The 18,760-nt window shown below is 42.4% G+C and overlaps 1 protein-coding gene and 2 long non-coding RNA genes across 4 annotated transcripts in view, besides 1 other annotated feature; 2 read left to right on the top strand and 1 right to left on the bottom strand.

Annotated features, from left to right (window-relative positions):
• Nucleotides 1–18,760, bottom strand: part of RHOXF1-AS1 (RHOXF1 antisense RNA 1) — a 110,620-nt gene that overhangs the window by 25,401 nt on the left and 66,459 nt on the right. Inside the window, exon 2 of the long non-coding RNA NR_131238.1 lies at nt 316–603. This is a non-coding gene — a long non-coding RNA (RHOXF1 antisense RNA 1). The remainder of the gene's footprint in view (nt 1–315; nt 604–18,760) is intronic.
• Nucleotides 742–923: a silencer, noted in NCBI's record as "fragment chrX:119254442-119254623 (GRCh37/hg19 assembly coordinates)". NCBI's record gives its function as "represses an EF-1alpha promoter that drives an FKBP-Casp9 reporter gene in an ReSE screen in K562 erythroleukemia cells {active_cell/tissue: K562}" and the evidence as "EXISTENCE:reporter gene assay evidence [ECO:0000049][PMID:32094911]".
• On the top strand, nt 1,017–12,404 carry RHOXF1 (Rhox homeobox family member 1). 2 transcript variants are annotated; one of them, XM_011531281.3, is made up of 4 exons: nt 1,017–3,885; nt 5,549–5,990; nt 8,541–8,586; nt 12,153–12,404. In XM_011531281.3, exons 1-4 carry the CDS (start codon nt 3,846–3,848, stop codon nt 12,261–12,263), a joined length of 639 nt encoding a protein of 212 aa, XP_011529583.1. In that variant the 5' UTR covers nt 1,017–3,845; the 3' UTR covers nt 12,264–12,404. The 2 variants fall into 2 exon arrangements, with proteins under 2 accessions (XP_011529583.1, NP_644811.1); NM_139282.3 differs by lacking the exon at nt 1,017–3,885 and having other exon boundaries at nt 5,542–5,990.
• LINC01402 (long intergenic non-protein coding RNA 1402) lies at nt 1,755–3,813 on the top strand. Its single transcript, NR_126557.1, has 3 exons — nt 1,755–1,915; nt 3,544–3,593; nt 3,746–3,813. It is a non-coding gene; the product is annotated as a long intergenic non-protein coding RNA 1402 (long non-coding RNA).

Raw genomic sequence — 18,760 nt, 5'->3', positions numbered from 1 at the left:
TGCACGACCATGCCTTACTCTCCTCACCCTGATCATGGTTCTTGTTCCAATCAAATTCTATTTATACAAACCTAGTTATCAGGCCAAAGTTTCCCCACTTGATTCATTTAAATGTTGCTTGAAAATATTTACCTTGGTGTCCAGGAGGCATTGCCTCCACCCTGAAGCCCAAGGGCAAACAGGCCCCAGCAGCCTTGAAACCCCTAGGTAGCTTTTGGCTCAGAAAGGTTTGGAAGGGGCCTGGGGAAAGAGAATAAGCCCTGAGCCCAGCCCCTGCTCCGTGAAAAGTCGGTGCCGCCTAAGCATGCCACTTACCTAACACGTCCGGGTATGGAACGAGTTGAAAAATGTTCTTCAGCTCCTGTAGTTGCACCAGTGTGAAAGTGAAGAGCCAGAGGAGCTGCTGACTGTCCTCAGGCTTTCTGAGTTCGTGGCCACTGCCACTGACGAGTTTCTCTTTGTCCATGGGGCCAGGGCCTGCCGCACTACCACGGCATTCTGCTGGTGCTGCTGGTGCGGCTGCTCCTAGTTTACATCTGGACGGTATTTTGCCCTCCTCGTTTTCGCCTGATACAATCACTGAGATCACGGGAGGAATCGCATCTGGAAAGGCGGAAAGGCAAAGAGAAAGATCAGAACACTGGAGGCCTGAGTTTATGGGCTGGAGGAGGTTAGGGGCCGCAAACTGAAAGCTGCACAAAGATAATCGGCTGTCGCAGGAAAAGGTAGTTTGCCTGAGTTCACTGGAGCACCTGTCACCATCCAGGCACTGACCATTAAGTTCTTCCCGGTCCTCGATTCCCAGGGTGCGATAACGGTGCCATCTTGGCTTCTCCTGGGCTGAAGTTTCAGTCCCTGCTGTTGATGAAACGGTGCGCCTCCGCAGACTCTGGGCTGCGATCTGCGGTAATCCCCGGTCCGGACAAGAAGTGCAACGCTTCTTGAGAAAAGTCCAAGTACTCCAAAATTTTGGCCATGACTCCACCACCTCAGAATGCAAGTGTAGACCGCAGCCCAGTGCTTAGTGCATCCAAGAATGTTAATGTTTACACTGCATGGGCTCTGGCCGCGACAGTGGCACATTGCATCCTCTGCTGTGCTCCACCTCCGGGCTTCTGGTTACAAGTACTCTACACAAGCTTAAGTGTTCCCTGTGTTGGGCTCCTGCTATGGGCCTGGGCAAGTTTCCACCTTTTCCCTGCCTCCTCCTCCTTCCACCTTTTCTCCCTTTTTCTAGAAATAAAATCCCAATCTTATGCTCAGAAATAAATAAAACTTTATTGTCAAATAAAAGAGGCAGGCCAAATTGAGGACTATGGTTCTGCCTTCAAGATGTGTTTTGCAGACGCTCCAGGAGATGTTAATATCCTGAGCACTGGAAATAGCTTCCAATAATAGGCCCTATGCTTGGTAACATACTATGATATTGGTCTACCGTATTTTTTCCTTTGCAACTATCATTATCTTCAGCACCATTTTATGAAAGAAACTAAACCATTTTCATGGGCTGCTAAGGGTGTCATTGGGCTTAGTTACCTTACCTACTGTACCTAATGGATAAGTGCCCCTGCCTCATATTTCTGCAAGATGGCTAAGAAATCAGCTTAAAAAAAAGTGATTAAACAATTCACTTTTAAAAAGATGTCAAGGGATGGCAATCTCACAACCTCTCTCTGACTTCAACCAAAATCTGACTTTTGTTGGAGTCTGGCCCCCTCTCCTTCTCTTAACTAATCAGTTCATGATCAATTTTCAGCCTTGGATCAAATGCTGCATGAGAGACATGTAAGAGTTTTAATCATGGAGTGCAGTAGACTAGCTGGGACGTCTGTGACAGCTTGATTTCTTCCACATCTCAGATTTCCACAGTGTACCCCGGTGTTTTCTCACCTTCAGTCACTCATAGGCATCTTAGGTGAGTGTTGTTGCCCTATGTGGGCACCAGAAAAGCTAGTACTTACTTAAATGTTTTACTTTAAATATAATTTAATTTTTAATTTTTGATTCACTCTTGAAAACCTTAAGTACCTAATGGAACCCTCATCCTAAGCAAAAATAGCCACAAATCACGGCCTGATGTAACAGATTTATGTGAGCAGTGACCCTAGAACCAGACTAGGTATCTGAATCATGGCTTCACTCACTACTTGCTAGCTGGCTAATCTGGTGAGCAGTTTATTCTCATTTTGCCTTGGTTTAATAATTTTTTAAATGGAGATAACAATCATACCTAATTCATAGAGGTGTTTTGAGGATTAATTGAGGTGCTTAATTATACAATTTCACAAATGACCATGCAGCCTCACATTTCCTACTTGACTCACTTTCATATTTTTTTATTCACAAGGGAGAGAGAGTGATTGTTCTCCTCTGGCAGCATGTAATAAAGATAGAGCATCTTCTTGTGAAAACAATACACGTACCATGTTTCTATGTACCTATATGTGCTTCCATCAATAAGCCTATGTTGGTTGCTGCATGTATGAGCCCTGGGCCAGGAAATGTGCCAGGAGAGTGTGTCTTTCACTCAGCAGACAGATTTTCTTCCTTGGCCTAATATATCTTATTCCTAGATACCAGAGCAAATAATAATGTAATAAGCATTACCATGTATTAAGTACCTACTCTGGACCCAACCCAAGAACAAGCAGTATGAAGGTGATAAGCAGGGGCACCATGGTGTAATTCACATTTTCATCATCAGATCACTCTGGCTGCTGGGTGGAGAATGTTTATAGGAGAAAAAAGGTGAAAGCAGGGAGACAGGACACTAATGCAATATCCCAGGTTTAAGATGATAGAGATTATCTTAAGCATGTCAGAGAAAAAAAATTAAAGGTTTGGGAATGTGTTTCTGAGGCGGAGTCAACAGGATTTGCTGATAAATTGACTATTTGGAGTTGAAGAAAAAGAATAAAACAGTCTATATATAACCAAGTACCTCTTTTTTAAAGAATCAAATGAATTATTTTTTCCTTTTTCCTTTCCTCACACCTCCTACTTAGCTCTTTGGGAATGCAATTATAAACTTTACCTTCTCTCCACCAGACACTCCCTACACAGCAAGCTTATCTAACTACATGTTTACTTAGAAGTTACAGAGACCGAACCTTAAAGCAAACCAGGAACCTCCAGAACTCTCTCCTACCAGGAGGCAAATTGAGATTGCCTCAACTTACAACCTAGCTCTGCCCGTGACGGTGCCAGCCAGACCACCTGATAGATAAGACATCCGAAGCAAGTCACATAGACTCTGCACTTCATCGCCCTCTCCCCTGCATGCCATTCACGCCAAGCCCCACTTTCAAAGCTCCTGCCTTCTGCCCCAAAGGCTTTAGTGGCTTCCTCAAGGCAGCCTGTACTACTTCCCCTCAACTAGCTCTGGAATAAAGCCACTTTCTTTCTACCAGACGTCGTTCTTGTTCACTGGACTTTGCAACTGGTGAGCAGTCGGAGCTGTGTTCAGTTACATGTATGCCTTGCCTCATTGAACTCTCATGAAAACCCTATGATCGAGACACTGTTGTTATCTCCATTTTATAGGTGAGGAAGCTGAGAACCAGATAGATTCATCCAGTGTCCTAGGACACACAGTGAGTCATGCTTCGGATCTGTGCTCCTAGCTGATGCCTCCCATTACTGGTAGTCCTTTCCTGCTCCCCACAATGTACATTTATTCATTTCTTTTTCTATTTTCTTATTATCTTTCTATTTTTCTTCTTCTTCCTCTCTCTTCTCTCACTAGGGATAGAACGCAAGGATCTCACTTAGCCCAGTGGATGGCAGTCAATTAATGGAGCGAGTGGCTTAGTCCTTGTCATGCTGCCAAGTGCAAGGGCCTTTCCATGCTCAGAATCACCATGAAGACGAGAGCTATCTCTCTTGGTAGGCTACAGACTCAAAGGGTCTGCATATTTATATATGCTGCCAAAAAAACCTCAAATAACCAATAGATATAAATAGATACAGAAAGTTTTTAAAAGAACATTTAAAAATAAAATTTTTAAAAATATTTTTAAAAAACAAAATAAAGTATATAACATCACTTAAGAGCACACACACAATCTCTAGAAAAATTAAGGATTCATGAGTTGTCCACCCTCAAAAGACATCTCCATGCCCTTCCTCATGACAGACTCTCTTAGCGCTTTCCTTTCTTTCATTTTCATTTTATTTCTTATTTTATTATTTATTTTAAAGAAAAGGGGCCTCTGTCTGTTGCCCAGGCTGGAGTGCTGCCATGTGATTCTAGCTCACCACAGCCTCAAACTCCTGGGTTCAAGTGATCCTCCCATCTCAGCCTCCTGAGTAGCTGGGACTAGTGCAGGAGCCACTGCACCAGGCTCTTCAGGGTTTTTCTTCGTAATTGGGCTTATTGGGGTCAGTGGTAGGAAGGCTGTGTAGTTACAAGGCTCTGTGGAGCAGAAGTGGCCCCACATCCAGTAAGCTGCATATCCTTAAATCCCAAATCTCCATCCCAAGATTGGAGATTTTTGGCAGGTATGCCCTTACTGGTGCTCTTCCTATACCATCCCCGATTTTATTTATTTATTTATTTTTTGCTTGTCCTTATAGCACTCCATTTTGCCATGAGTACAGGTTTCTCTTGCATAGCCAAAGATATTCAGTCTCAGGCTAACAGATTCAGCCTCGTGTTTATTCTGTGTTGACTTTCTCAAAGGGTGCGTTAGATTTCTTGCAGAGCACATCTTACCACCCAGAATGCTCTGCATGCCCATCTCCAAGATCCCGATCCCAGCACTGAAGAGAGCATGGCAGCTCTGCTTTCAGTGCCTTTGCTGGAACTCTGAACAAGCAGCCCCCAGTCAATCATTTCTGCTTAATTAATAGCCCGCGCCCTGTGCATGCTGCCAAATATGGAGGGTCAGGCCATGAGATATTCTCCAAACTTTTACTCAAGGCGTCCTATGGTCACCGTGAGATCTCACCTCCCCTCTGAGCCCCCAAATCAGCTTTCCTCAGGGTAATAACTAGGCCCGAGTAGGGTGTAGTCAGCAAAGCTGCAAGCTGGGGCCCCATGTTGCATACATATATGCCTCCTATTGGCCCTTTTCTTCTCCACACTGCCCCTGTGTTTTGGCCACCCCACTCCACCCTCAACTGCCACCCCCACCCACGACCCATACCACACCCCTCACCCCCACCCACAACCCCTACCCCCACCACGCACCCTCCACCCACACCTCCCATCTCCACCCGCTACCCCCACCCCCACCATGTACCCCCACCGGCAACCCCCACCCCAACCCACAACCCCTACCCTCACCCGCAACCCCCACCCTCACTGTGCACCCCCCACCCTCCACCCACACCCCCATCCCCACCTGCACCCCACCCCACACTCACAACCCCCCACTCCCACCTGCAACACCCCCACTCCCCACCCGCACCCCCCAACTTCCCATCCCCCCACTCCTCTCCATTCCCTCTCTTGCTTGTGCGCATAAGCAAGTCCCACTCATTGCAACTGTAACCAATACCAAGCATGAGAACAGGAACTAGCTCCACCCTCTAACCCCCACTCCAGCTGCAGACGCCACGGAGTTTGTGCAGGGGCGCAGCGCTCCAGCCATGGCGCGTTCGCTCGTCCACGACACCGTGTTCTACTGCCTGAGTGTATACCAGGTAAAAATAAGCCCCACACCTCAGCTGGGGGCAGCATCAAGCGCAGAAGGCCATGTTGGCCAAGGAGCTCCAGGCCTCATGGGTAATATGAACCCTGAGGGCGGTGTGAACCACGAGAACGGCATGAACCGCGATGGCGGCATGATCCCCGAGGGCGGCGGTGGAAACCAGGAGCCTCGGCAGCAGCCGCAGCCCCCGCCGGAGGAGCCGGCCCAGGCGGCCATGGAGGGTCCGCAGCCCGAGAACATGCAGCCACGAACTCGGCGCACGAAGTTCACGCTGTTGCAGGTGGAGGAGCTGGAAAGTGTTTTCCGACACACTCAATACCCTGATGTGCCCACAAGGTAAGTGGCCTGCTCCAGGAGCCACGAGATCTCCAAGTTCGTTTCGAGGCATCTTTTTCTCTCCCTTGCCCCACCCAATCATGAGGAAAAAGCCACTGGGGGTCCTTGCCTGCCTTTGTGCTGGTGTGGAGGGGGATATTTACCTCCTGGGCATCAAGGTAAATGTTTTATTGCAATGTTTATGTGAATGAAACCTGGAAACTAGTCCGTGCCTCCCTTTTATAAAGATGTGGTAAAATACACGGAAATATGAAATTTACCGTCCAAACCACTTTTTAAGTATAGAGTTCAGTTGTGTTAAGTATGTTCACATTGTTGTGCAATAGATCTCTAGAATTCTTCTCATCTTGCCAAGCTAAGTCTCTATACCAGTTAAGCAACTCCCCTTTTCCCCCTTTCCCCAGCCCTTGGCAACCACCATTCTACTATTTTATGTCTCTATGATTTTGACTACTCTAGGTATCTCATGTAAGTAGAATCATACAGTATTTGCATTTTTGTCACTGACTTATTTCACTTAGCATAAGGTCTTCAAGGTTCATCCATATCGCAGCATATATTAGAATTTCCTTCCTTTTTAAGGCTAAATAATATTCCATTTTATAGATACAGGTGCACACCAACAGTACATGGGGGTTCCAGTTTCTCCACATCCTCACCAACACTTGTTATTTTCTGGGGTTTTTTACATAGCCATCCTAATGGGTGTGAGGTGATACTTCATTGTAGTTTCGATTTGCTTTTCCCTAATGATTAGTGATGTTGTGCATCCTTTCATGTGCTTAGTGGCCACTTGTATATCTTCTTTGGAGAAATATCTCTTTAAGTCCTTTACCCATTTTAAAATCTGAGTGGCTTTTTCTTTCTTTCTTTCTTTTTTTTTGGTTATTGGGTTGTAGGAGTTCTTTATACACTCTGGATATTAACCCCTTATCAGATGTGATTTGCAAATATTTCCTTCCATTCTATGAGTTGTCTTTTTACTCTGTTCATTGCATCTTTTGATATACAGAAGTTTTAAATTTTGATATAGTCCAAGTTATGTATTTTTTCTTTTATTACCTGTGATGATGGCCTGTTTTTGTTGTTGTTGTTGTTTTTGTTGAGTGGGGGATCTGTCACCCAAGCAATCCTCCCATCTCAGCCTCCTGAGTTGCTGGGATTATAGGAGTGAGCCACCACACCCAGCTGTGGTCTGTTTTTATAAATAAAATTTTATTGAAATTGGGGTAAGGAGAATGAGGTACTGTCATGCAACTACAGTGCTAGATCCTTCCTTTATTTAAAATTTTGATAATTTGTTCATCATAGTTTTTTTTTGTTTGTTTGGTTGGTTTTTTGTTTTTCTGGTTTTTTTGTTTTGTCTTGAGACAGAGTCTCTCTCTGTGGCCCAGGTTGGAGTGCAGCAGTGCGATTTCAGCTCTCTGCAACATTTGCTTCCTGGGTTCAAGCCATCCTCCCGTGTCAGCCCCCTGAGTAGCTGGGACTGCAGGCACAGGCCACCACACCTGGCTAATTTTTGTATTTTTTTTGTGTGTAGAGATAAGGTTTCGCCGTGTTGCCCAGGCTAGTCTCAAACTCCTGGGCTCAAGCAATTTGCCTGCCTCGGCCTCCCAAACTGCTGGGATTACAGGCCTGAGCCACAGTGCCTGGTCCTCATCACAGATTTTTGCATTAATTGTTATTTATTAAAATAGTGCATTAGGGCCAGGCACGGTGGCTCAGGCCTGTAATTCCAGCGCTTTTGGGAGGCCAAGGTGGGAAGGTTGCTTGAGTCCAGGAGTTCAAGAACAGCCTGGGCAACATGGCAAAACCCCGTCTCTAAATAAAACTTAAAAAATTAGCCATGTGGGTGTGGTGGTGTGTGCCTGTACTCCCAGCCACTTGGAAGGCTGAGGCAGGAGGATCGTTCGAGCCCAGGACATGCAGGCTGCAGTGAGCAGTGATCCTGCCACTGCACTCCAACATAGACGACAGTGAGACCCTGTCTCAAATAATAATAATAAAAATAATAATAATGCATTAAATTATTCATCTTGGCCGGGTGCGGTGGTTCATGCCCCAAATCCCAGCACTTTGGGAGGCTGAGACGGGCAGGAGTTCGAGACCAGCCTGGCCAACATGGCAAAACCCCATCTCTACTAAAAATACAAAAATCAACTGGGCATGGTGGTATGTGCCTGTAATCGCAGCTACTCGGGAGGCTGAGGCACGAGAATCGTCTGAACCCCGGAGGCGGAGGTTGCAGTGAGCTGAAATCACACCACTGCACTCCAGCCTAGGAGACAGAGTGAGACCTTGTCTCAATTTAAAAAAAAAAAGGTATTTCTCTTGATTACTGAGTTGTTAACGTCACCTTAAATTTCGTGATGAGGGTAAACCATTTCTAAAGCAACCATGGAGCTGGGAATTAGAGAAAAGTATATACTTGGGGGAGGTGTGAGGGGAGATTATAAATTGTAAAACAAGCATGAAGTAAATAGTACATACTATATATTTCATTTCATCCACAACTTTGAATACTAACCATGTGTGATCTTCTCTCCACAGAAGGGAACTTGCCGAAAACTTAGGTGTGACTGAAGACAAAGTGCGGGTCAGTACACTTGAAAAAGCAATTTGAGAGGACAGCCATTCTAAAACCTGCTTCAGGGCATTGAAGGCTTTGAAGGCTTTGTCCTGAACGTTCTAAAGTTGTTGTTTTTATTATTGTCTTTTTTATGTTGACAAATAAGTTTTGAAGTTTGGGTTCCTTGTCGGTAGAAAAGGAAGTAAGCTCCAGCTTATGGTTCTTTCCTCTTTCCCATTCCAATTAGGGAATATGATTTCCTAAAGGAAAAACAAAACAAAAACTGCTTCTCCTAATCTGTATACAAAATTAAACAAATACATACATATGAAACACATATATTATACATATATGTATTATATATAATACATATGTGTATTATATATAATACATATATGTGTATTATATATAACACATATATGTGTATTATATATTATACATATGTGTATTATATATAATATATGTGTATTATATATAATACATATATGTATATATATCATACATATATACATATATGTATGTATCCAATAAATAAAATTCAACTCCTTCTAACGCTGGTATCTTTTAGGAACAATTTCTGTGTAGAGTCATGGTGGGGTTCAGTCTTACCTTAGAAGTATTCAAGTTAATGCAGGGAGGAGCAGGGTTATAAGAGGGTTCAAGTGTACTAAATTATTTAAGGCCAGGCATAAACACTTAGCTAAATGAGTGAATTTATAAATATTGGGATGAGGGAGTAATTCACCCACAGAACACATTACATGACTAAATAATGTATACTTAGTTAAGCTGAGACTGATGGGAAGATAGCTTATATGTCCAAGCCCCTGGTCCTTCTTTGTTTGTTTTTAAGTTATTGGTAAAGCAGTATAGAGAGTGGCAGCCCTAAGTTTTAATTTTCTAAAATACTTTGATGTGTCAACCTGAAAATATTGCTAAAATAGTCACATTATTTTGAAATTGAGGAAGGTTTGTAAGGTTTGTATGCTTTGGAAAATTGTCTAAAGAATGAAGCAAACAAAATGAGTAATATTGAATTCATTTCAGTTGACCAAGAAGGGTGAAAAGGTTAGAGAGAAATATGGTCAAAATAGGCTTTGCACATACTATGCATGTACTATACAAATTCAACATTATGAAACTACTAAATGTTTAAGTGACTGTTCTCTTGAGGAATTTCTATCCATCTAAGGATTTATATTTCTTTTTGGTGGTACTTTTTTGAAGAGGTGGGTTTTCTGGAATTTGTTTGGAGAGGTGGCCCTCATTTTAGGGTAGATTCACACCCATGTTAATTTCAAATACTTTTCATTCCTTTAAGCAGTGTTAACTAATTAGTAGGTCATAGGATTCAAGTGATGACCACTTAAGACCAAAGAAAACCATACATAGTATCAAAGTGATGTTTTCCCAAAAAAGAAAAAACAAAAATCAGGATGACCTTATTATTAGCTTTTATGCAGAGTGCATGTGTGAGTGTAGTGAGGGAAATGCACTGCCGATCTGGTAGTGGGTTGTCCAAAAAAGCAAACTAACAAAGCGGGTTACTGAGTGCTGGCATCCTAATGGCAAAGGGTGGACTCACAATCACACCTGGTTCGGGTTGGAGAAGTTGAAAAGAGGTTGGGATCACTTTTCTCCAGCTGGTAAGGCAAACTCAGAGGAAAAGAAAAACAAGGCTTGGTGAGTTGTTTTTCTCCTCCCTGAGTCGACATAATGTTCTCTCCTTAGTGCTCTGAAAAGAATATGAGCCACAAGATACAAATAAGGGAAGAGACAGAATGCTCTCATGTATCTCCAAACTATACAGCATAAATTTCCCCCAAGAAAGTAATACATAGTTTCCCCATAGCTTTTGCAGATGTAATGCAACTGGTTTATGAAACCAGTATTGGGAATGCAGACCTAGTATCAGAACATACCAGTTAACCCACTGTACACTTTGGTTATGTTTATAGAGATTTGACCAGTGGTACACTTGAAAGCTCCCAAAATGAGCTCTTTTAGACTTTTAGAGACTGGCCTCATGCAGCAGAAATACTGCAAATCCTTAACTGGGAAAGTGAAAAAGACGTGTCAGGTAGAGAAAGAAGGCCCTTTGTGCAGCTTACAATTTGCAGTTTGAGAACTTTTGAAAGTAATAAATACAATATAAACTCCGTTAACTAGGTTGCTGAGAGGATAGTGACATCTAACTGACAGGCTTTTTTTGTCTGTTTGCTTTTTAATTGTTGGCAGATATTTAGGGAGGAGCCATATTTGTGACCCTTCCCCCACATTGATGTTAACCATCTTCCTAAAATGCTGGTTCCACCTTTCTGCCTTAGGAATAGGGGGTGGGATTCAGATCTCCTGGTTGAGTAGCAGGGCCTAGGGGGCCCTGCCTTACTGGGCTACAGCACCTCCAGTCCAGGATCCTGGAGCTGTAGGTAAAACAGAGTGAGCTGACCTTGTCCTGAGCCCAGGAAGGTTTGGAGAGTGCAGCAGATTGGAGAACGAAGATTTGGCATTGGTGACAATGGTATGCCTCTTTCCCCTAAACTATTGGGTGAGCAAAGATTTTTGAGAGTTTCAGTTAATTTGGGTCGAGCTGGTTTCAACTTTCCTTAATGCTACAGGCTAAAATATCAAGGCAGTGTCCAGGCCTCTCTTGCCAGAGGACGAATGATCCCTTAGACATCCTGGAAGGAAACCTGTCTAAAATTCCAGTGCGCTCTTTCCTATTATTTACTACATACTAAAGATGGATTTTTTAAACAATCCCCTGAAAATGATTTGAAATTAGGCCCACTTTTTACCATGCCGAACTTCTCCCACAAACAAGATGAAACTCTCCCTAGTGAGGAGGGAGCAGGAGGCAGCTGGATAGTTGATGGTCACTTGTCAGATGCACACCTTTTGTTACCCTGTTGCCAGGCATTGAATTAACAAACAGCAAGGACCTGGAACAACTCATAAGCCAGAACTGCATCCAATATCTGGAAGTAACCATTAAAGAATATTAAAATTGGGGCTGGGCACAGTGGCTCACGCTTGTAATCCCAACACTTTGGGACACCAAGGTGGGAAGATCACTTGAGGCCAGGAGCTCAAGTCCAGCCTGGGCAACATAGCGAGACCCTGTCTCTACAGAAAAATTAAAACAGCTGGGCATAGTGGCATGTACCTCTAGTACCAGCTACTTGGGAGGGTGAGGTGGGAGGATCTCTTGAGCCCAGAAGTTCAATGTCACAGTGAGCTATGATTGCACCACTGGATCCCAGCCCAGGCAAAACAGCAAGACCCTGTCTCAAAAAATAAATAAATAAATAAATAAATAAATAATAAATAAATAAATAAATAAAATGGAGAAGAGAGATACAAAGTAATAAGCTTATTCCAGGACTTGGCACAAAGCTGGTCCTCACTAAGGGTGAGCTGAAGGGCCACGGGCTATGTTGTTAACTTTCCTAAGGTATTTTAGCAATGAGGAAATAGCTTTTCCTGATGCAGTTTAAAATCTCAATAGCATATAAAGTTGCATCCTGTGTTTTTCTATTACGACATTAACTGTTCAATATACTAAACCAATCCCCTTTTCCCTCTGATTGTAGGTTTGGTTTAAGAATAAAAGGGCCAGATGTAGGCGACATCAGAGAGAATTAATGCTCGCCAATGAACTACGTGCTGACCCAGACGACTGTGTCTACATCGTCGTGGACTAGCCCTAGAATGCCATCCTTCTTCAGGAGCTAGTTTGGAGATGGGTTTTTCTGGTGCCACTGACACCTGGGCTGCCCATGCCGCTCAGGCTACCCTTATCTCCTCTGCACTTATGTTATCAATAAAGAGGCAAATTCTCAATATATTTGTTTTTGTGTGCCAATTGTGGTTAGTAGGGTATAGGTGCAAATTGTTTTTAAAAAGCCATTTAAGGCCAGGTGCAGTGGCTCACACCTGTAATCTTAACACTTTAGGAGGCTGAGGCGGGTGGATCAGGAGGTCAGGAGTTCAAGACCAGCCTAGCCAAGATGGTGAAACCCTGTCTCTATCAAAAATACAAAAAAATTAGCTGGATGTGGTGGCAGGCACCAGTAATCCCAGCTATGCGGGAGGCCTGAACCCAGGAGGCAGAGGTTGCAGTGAGCCAAGATCGCACCACTGCACTTCAGCCTGGGCAACAGAGTGAGACTCCATATCAAAAAAAAAAAAAAAGAAAGCCATTTAAACAAAATGACAAGGAGATCTTTCATGAAATGACATCCCTGGCTTGCCATCAACAATAGGCCCTGCACATCACAGAAGTTTACCAAGCGTCATTGTGAGTTTGCACTGACCCATACATCCTTCTCCACTCCCCCTCCCTACCCCTGCCATTATGCCATCCTCACCACCTTGCCCCTTTAGGGACCACAAATATGTGCAAGAAGGGGTGAAGCAGATTCCTGGTGAGACAACAGTGTATTCCCAGATAAAGCTGAGTTCCAGTTATGCTGACTAGTTCAGTCCAAATTCTGGACTCTAAAGAGAAACTTCCTAGGTGGCTACTCATAGGATTTATGGGAAGGTGGCAGCTGAACGTTGATCCACTCCACTATGCTCCAAATTCTGTTCACTGCCCTCCCTTTTTGTGGGGGACACAGGGGAATAGGAGCTATTCTGCCCCAAAGATCCTGCTGCTTCAAAAGAAACACAAGCAAAAATTTCATTAAGCCCAAAAAGAGGCTCTTCTCCATTTTCTCCCCTCCCCCCGGCCCAGAAAGCATATTGTTATACCTTCCCTAGCTCAAAAGCAGATGAACAATCCTTTAAGTTTATTTTGTCATCTTCAACATCTTCGAGAGAATCCCACTTCCTGCTGATTACAAGGTGAAAGGGGACCTTTTCATTTAGTGCTGCTCAAAGAAGAGTAAGAAGATGGTACCCTGAGCAATGTTCCAGAATATCCACTCACTGGAACGAAGCTGTCAGACCTCTGCTTTGTTCATGCTATTGTAAACCAAAAATAAAATTCGAAGCCCCACAACTATCTGAATGGATCCCTCCTCTCAGCCAAGGGCATTCCAAAGTTAACCTGAAAAACTTATTCAGGTCATGACAGGAAGTAGGCGTCAGACATGCCTTATTATTCCCTACTCCCTTTTGGAATTCGTGTACAGCTGACCAGTCTTAACGTTAGAACAGAACTTAAGACTAACATACTCTGTGGCAATAAGACACCAATTTCCAGCCTAACTCTAGTATAGCATCACATGACAGATAGCAAGGCTTGAAAGAAATCAAAAGTATTTTACCCTATGTGTTTCTTTGTCATATTTTGAAACAGTCCTGCAAAGCTGTCTCTTGTGGGGGGAAATGTACATTCTCAAGAGAATCCCCTTTCTTGTGCAGGCCTTTTTCTTGATCCAGGAGAGAATCAACTCAAGTAAGAAACATTTACAATCTATTCTCTCTGAAGCCAGCTACCTGGAGGCTTCCTCTGCATAATGGGAACCTTGGTCTCCACAACCCCTTATCTTAACACAGACATTCTCTTGTATTGATTCTTGGTCTTTAGACAATAATGTAACTTTTCAACCAATTGCCAATCAGAAAATCTTTGAATCTACATATGACCTAGAAGCTCCCACTTCGAGTTTACCCACCTTTCTGGACAGAACCAATGTTGTACATCTTACATGTATTGATTGATGTCTTATGTCTTCTTAAAATGTGTAAAACCAAGCTGTAACCCAACCACCTGGGGCACACATTCTCAGGATCTCCTGAGAGTTTTCACAGGCCATTGGTCACTCATATTTGGCTCAGAATAAATCTTTTCAAATATTTTACAGAGTTTTACTCTTTTCATCAACACGATCTTCTTTGTGCAAAACTTCCAGGATAGAAAGAAAACAAAAACAAAAATAAATTAGGAAGATGAAGAGGCCCAGCCCATTTTTTAAAGCATAAAGTTCTTCTCAGTTTAACCTTTGTTTTTGAGTAACCTTTAGCAATATGAGTCTCCTTCAGTGGAGTTTTATGTTAAAACTGATTAATTGTGGGCCCCACAGTCATACTATAAAGTGATTGCAGTGACTATAGATAAGGTATCAGAGTTACCCCACAATTTCCTCTCATGGGTCTTAATCAAAGACCAGTTTAATAGTGCTCATATGTTCCCAGTGTAAAGGAAGGCTCTGTTTCCTTGGAAAAGCATGCCATGGTGCCTGCTAATTTTAATTCCTTACTTCTTCCTTTTTCCACTTGTGATTGTCAAATTTCAGCAAAGTAGTATGCATAATGTGTGGCTTCCACAGAGAGAGGGTTGTTATTGCTACACAGAAGCCCCAGGCCCTGTTGGGAGTGTGGAAAATCCAAGAAGAATGTACCTCACCACTCTCACAGGATGATTTTGAAACCAAAAATTATTTCCCAGTGTTAATCACTTTCCATCTAAAACAGTAAATTTCTCAATGCTTTAAGCAGCCTCAGAATTAATGGGTCTGTACAAATAAGCTCCAAGACACCATCAGACCCAGGACTGACACCTTCTCTGCACTGGCTACAGCTGAAACTGAAGGCCAGAGAGTGCTCAGCAGAAATCCTCAGTCAATCCTCACATCCAGTCTGACACACACTAGCAGAGAATATTCTTTTTTCATGTTCAGATTTCCTGGAAGAAGCAAAATAAAAGTGAATACATTTTCCAGAAGTGGGTAGCATCTTCAAGAGTCATATACACTGTTTTTTAACATGTCTCTACTTCCAGGTGCCAGAAATTAAGGCAGGATTCAGGCAGGACGGTGGTATGAGGCAGAAAAGATAAGCAAAACATTGTGGTACATGATAATTTACCTGCAGTCTAGGTTTTCAAAGAGAGAGATCCTTTAAAATTAATGCCACAAAGAACACTTCTCTTTCTTTTATTTTTTTAGTTAACTCTCATTTTAAGTTCAGGGGCACAAATGCAGGTTTGTTACATGGGTGAACTTGTGTCATGGGGGGTTGTTGTACAGATTATTTCATCACCCAGGTATTAAGCCTAGTACCCATTAGTTATTTTTCATTATCCTCTCCCTCCTCCTACCCTTCAGTAGGCCCTAGTGAGTGTGTTCCCCTCCATGTGTCCATGTGTTCTCATCATTTAGCTCCCATTTATAAGTGAGAACATGCAGTATTTAGTTTTCTGTTCCTGCATTAGTTTGCTCAGGATAATGTTCCTTTTTATGGCTGCATAGTACTCCATGGTGTATATGTACTACATTTTCTTTATCCAGACTATCATTGATGGGCATTTGGGTTGATTCCATGTCTTTGCTATTGTGAATAGTGCTGCAATGAAATACATGTGCATGTATCTTTATGATAAAATGATTTATACTCCTCTGGGTATATACCCAGTAATGGGATTGCTGGGTCAAATGTTATTTCTGGTTCTAGGTCTTAGAGGAATCACCACATTGTCTTTCACAATGGTTAAACTAATTTACATTCCCACTAACAGTGGAAAAGCATTCCTATTTCTCTGCAGCCTTGACAGCATCTGTTGTTTCTTGATTTTTTTAATAATTGCTCTTCTGACCAGTGTGAGATGGCATCTCACTGTGGTTTTGATTTGTATTTCTCTAACGATCAGTGATGTTGAGCTTTTTTTATATGTTCGTTGGCCACACAAATGTCTTCTTTTGAGAAGCGTCTGTTCATTTCATTTGCCCAATTTTTATTATACTTTAAGTTCTAGGATACATGTGCAGAACGTGCAGGTTTGTTACATAGGTACACACGTGCCATGGTGGTGTGCTGCACCCATCAACTCATCATCTACATTAGGTATTTCTCCTAAGGCTATCCCTCCCCTAGCTCTCCACCCCCGACAAGCCCTGGTGTGTGATGTTCCCTCCCTGTGTCCATGTGTTCTCAATGTTCAACTCCCATCTATAAGTGAGAACATACAGTGTTTGGTTTTCTGTTCCTGTGTTAGTTTGCTGAGAATGATGGTTTCCAGCTTCATCCATGTCCCTGCAAAGGACATGAACTCATTCTTTTTTATGGCTGCATAGTATTCCATACTGTACATGTGCCACATTTTCTTTATCCAGTCTATCATCGAGGGGCATTTGGGTTGGTTCCAAGTCTTTACTATTGTGAGTAGTGCTGAAATAAACACTGTGCATGTGTCTTTATAGTAGAATGATTTATAATCCTTTGGGTATATACCCAGTATTGGGATTGCTAGGTCAAATGGTATTTCTGGTTCTAGATCCTTAAGGAATCACCACACTGTCTTCCACTATGGTTGAACTAATTTACACTCCCACCAACAGTGTAAAAGCATTCCTATTTCTCCACATCCTCTCCAGCATCTGTTGTTTCCTGACTTTTTAATGATCGCCATTCTAACTGGCATGAGAAGTTATCTCATTGTGGCTTTGATTTGCATTTCTCTAATGGCAAGTGATGATGAGCTTTTTGTCATATGTTTGTTGGCTGCATAAATGTCTTCTTTTGAGAAGTGTCTGCTCATATCCTTCAACCACTTTTTGATGGGGTTGTTTTTTTTTTCTTGTAAATTTATTTAAGTTCCTTGTAGATTCTGGATATTAGCCCTTGGTCAGATGGGTAGATTGCAAAAATTTTCTCCCGTTCTGTAGGTTGCCTGTTCACTCTGATGATAGTTTCTTTTGCTGTGCAGAAGCTCTTTAGTTTAATTAGATCCCATTTGTCAATTTTGGCTTTTGTTGCCATTACTTTTGGTGTTTTAGACATGAAGTCTTTGCCCATGCCTATGTCCTGAATGGTATTTCCTAGGTTTTCTTCTAGGGTTTTTATGGTTTTCAGTCTTACATTTAAGTCTTTGATCCATCTTGAGTTAATTTTTGTATAAAGTGTAAGGAAGCAGTTTCAGTTTTCTGCATATGGCTAGCCAGTTTTCCCAACAAAATACCTAGGAATACAGCTAACAAGGGATGTGAAGGACCTCTTCAACGAGAACTACAAACCACTGTTCAAGGAAATAAGAGAAGACACAAACAAATGGAAAAAAAACATTCCATGCTCATGGATAGGAAGAATCAATATTGTGAAAATGGCCATACTGCCCAAAGTAAAGAGAAAAAGAGTCTGGTATTCTAGAGGGAGATTAAAAACAGATGCCAAATCAAACATAAAATTGTAAAAATCTATCATAGGATTGTATAAGGGGACCAATTTTATCAATATAGGTAGTTTTAAATTTAGTCTCTTACTATTTAACTGGATCTCTGAGGTCTGAGGCAGAGCCCACACTGAATTCTGAATCTCCAAAAGAGAAATTTTCATGAGCCTAGAACATGTGATGCTTTTATAATGCACTTTCTTTGTGAAGACATTTCTCTTAGTGTCTAAACTATACTCTTTCTGATTTTAAACACCCAAGAATAGCCACTGTTGTAATAACTACTTTAGTCAAAACAAAATCAGGTAACAATACAAAAGCAAGCTATTTAAGATTTGAGAAGAACTTGTCTGTTTATACTCTTAAGGTTCCATACGGAAAAACAGAGGTTTCTCCCCAAAATGGAGTCTGGCACCTTCTCTGTTTTCTTTAAGGAATCTCAGGCTGTTAAAAACCATTTTAGGTCCCTCATGCAGCAGAGAGGGGCAAAAGGAAGGAGAGACAGGAAGAAAAATGGAGAAAACAGAATTCAGTCAACTGAGAAAAACAAAACTTTTTCTACAAAAAAAATGAAGTTCTAGGAAAAAAAACCATAAAGGCCTTTTAAGTGGACACACACACACACATACACACACACACACACACACACACACACACACCCAAAATCTTCAATATTAGCTTTTTAATTAAGCAGATTCATAGCCATTGAGCTCTTCCAAAAAAAAAAATCCTTTTAAGCCGGGTGTGGTGCCTCACACCTGTAATCCCAGCACTGGGAGGCCAAGGTGGGTGGGTCACTTGAGGTCAGGAGTTTGAGACCAGCCTGGCCAACATGGTGAAACCCTGTCTCTACTAAAAATACAAAAATTAGCCTGGTGTGGTGGCACATGCCTGTAATCCCAGCTACTCAGGAGGCTAAGGCAGGAGAATTGCATGAACCCAGCAGGCAGGTTGCAGTAAGCCGAGAATGTGCCACTGTACTCCAGCCTGGGCAACAGAGCAAGACTCCATCTCAAAGAAAAATCCTTTTAAATCTCATTGCCATATTTTAACTGAGACAAATTGCTCATACTTCAACAGTAACAT

The sequence above is a fragment of the Homo sapiens genome, chromosome X, assembly GCF_000001405.40.
Source record: "Homo sapiens chromosome X, GRCh38.p14 Primary Assembly".
Lineage (NCBI taxonomy): Eukaryota > Metazoa > Chordata > Mammalia > Primates > Hominidae > Homo > Homo sapiens.
This window is presented reverse-complemented; position numbering and strand designations above follow the sequence as displayed.